Source organism: Homo sapiens, chromosome 13, assembly GCF_000001405.40.
Source record: "Homo sapiens chromosome 13, GRCh38.p14 Primary Assembly".
Classification (NCBI taxonomy): Eukaryota; Metazoa; Chordata; class Mammalia; order Primates; family Hominidae; genus Homo; species Homo sapiens.
The window spans coordinates 47,014,992-47,016,276 of record NC_000013.11 but is presented as its reverse complement, the minus strand read 5'-3'; positions in this window follow the sequence as shown (position 1 = coordinate 47,016,276).

Here is a 1,285-nt window from a genome sequence, read left to right as displayed (position 1 = left end):
TTTCAGAAACTTTCCTAGAAAACAAATCTTCAAAATTCACCCATTCACTAAACAGTCTTTAGCCTTTCCATTATATTACAGGAACTAATTGTAGGTGTTAAGGAAACAAATACATGAATTTTGACCACAGGAGGCTCAGGGTCTGTAGGAAAAACAGTTAGATAAACAGCAATTATAATTTAGTGTGACAAAGATCTGTAATAGACAGTGAATGAATCAAAGGCTCAAGTATTCTGATCAGAGACTGGGGAAGGCAGGTGACAGAAGGCTTTACTGAAGAAATGACATTTAAGTTGGGCTCAAAATAATATATACAGAATAATATTTTTGAGCACTTATTATATGTCAGGCACTATAACAAGCACTTTATGGTACATGCATTTCTTTTATGTGACACAGCTACCATATGAAATTGGTATTATTATTATTATCCCATCTTACAGATTAGAAAAAATAATGAGGCTCACAGAGGTTGGGCAACATATCCCAACCCACACAATTAATAAGTGGTAGAGTTGGGATCAATACTATGTCATTAAATCCACAGTCCAAGCATTGGCCATTGCTTCAGCCAGAGCTCTAGACTAGAACAACTGAGTTGTCAATTTTCTCCACTTCAGCCTCCCCGCAAATTTAGATGTTGAGTTTAGCTCTGGATGTTTCCTCACAAAATAGTACTCTGAAACACAAGCAATAGATGGCCACATATACTTCATTAGAAATTTCATTGAGAAAATTTGGAAGGAGGTCACACAGACATCCCTCAACTAATAGCTCAAAATTTATCATTAGATGTTTCTATGCTTCTAGGTCACTTGCCACCCAGTTGTCATCTAGGTGTTTCTCCTTCTTCCTCTTCCCTCCCGAGACTCTTTAGTAAGGCCACTCCTCTCTTCTTCCTCCTCTGATATACAGAACTATTCTCCTCATGCACATGCAAATCCATCAGAGTCACCATCGAACAAAATGACTTCTCATCAACAGCAGTGATCTTTATTAAAATAAAGTTTATCAGCAAACTACAGCATCAAAATTTGCTTCAGGACTTAACCTATCACGCCAAATAGACTTTAGAGTATATTTCTTTCCCCAAAATGCTGTCACCAAAGGGAACTCTGGTAAATCAAATTTCATCTATAGCTTTACTATATTAAAATGATTTTCACATTTTCAAATCTATGAATGTGATTTTCTCTAACGCTTTTACGTATATGCAACTTTTCAGCCAGATCAAGTCAGGAAGATAAACTATACCATTGTTAAAACAGAGAGATATTAACAGAGA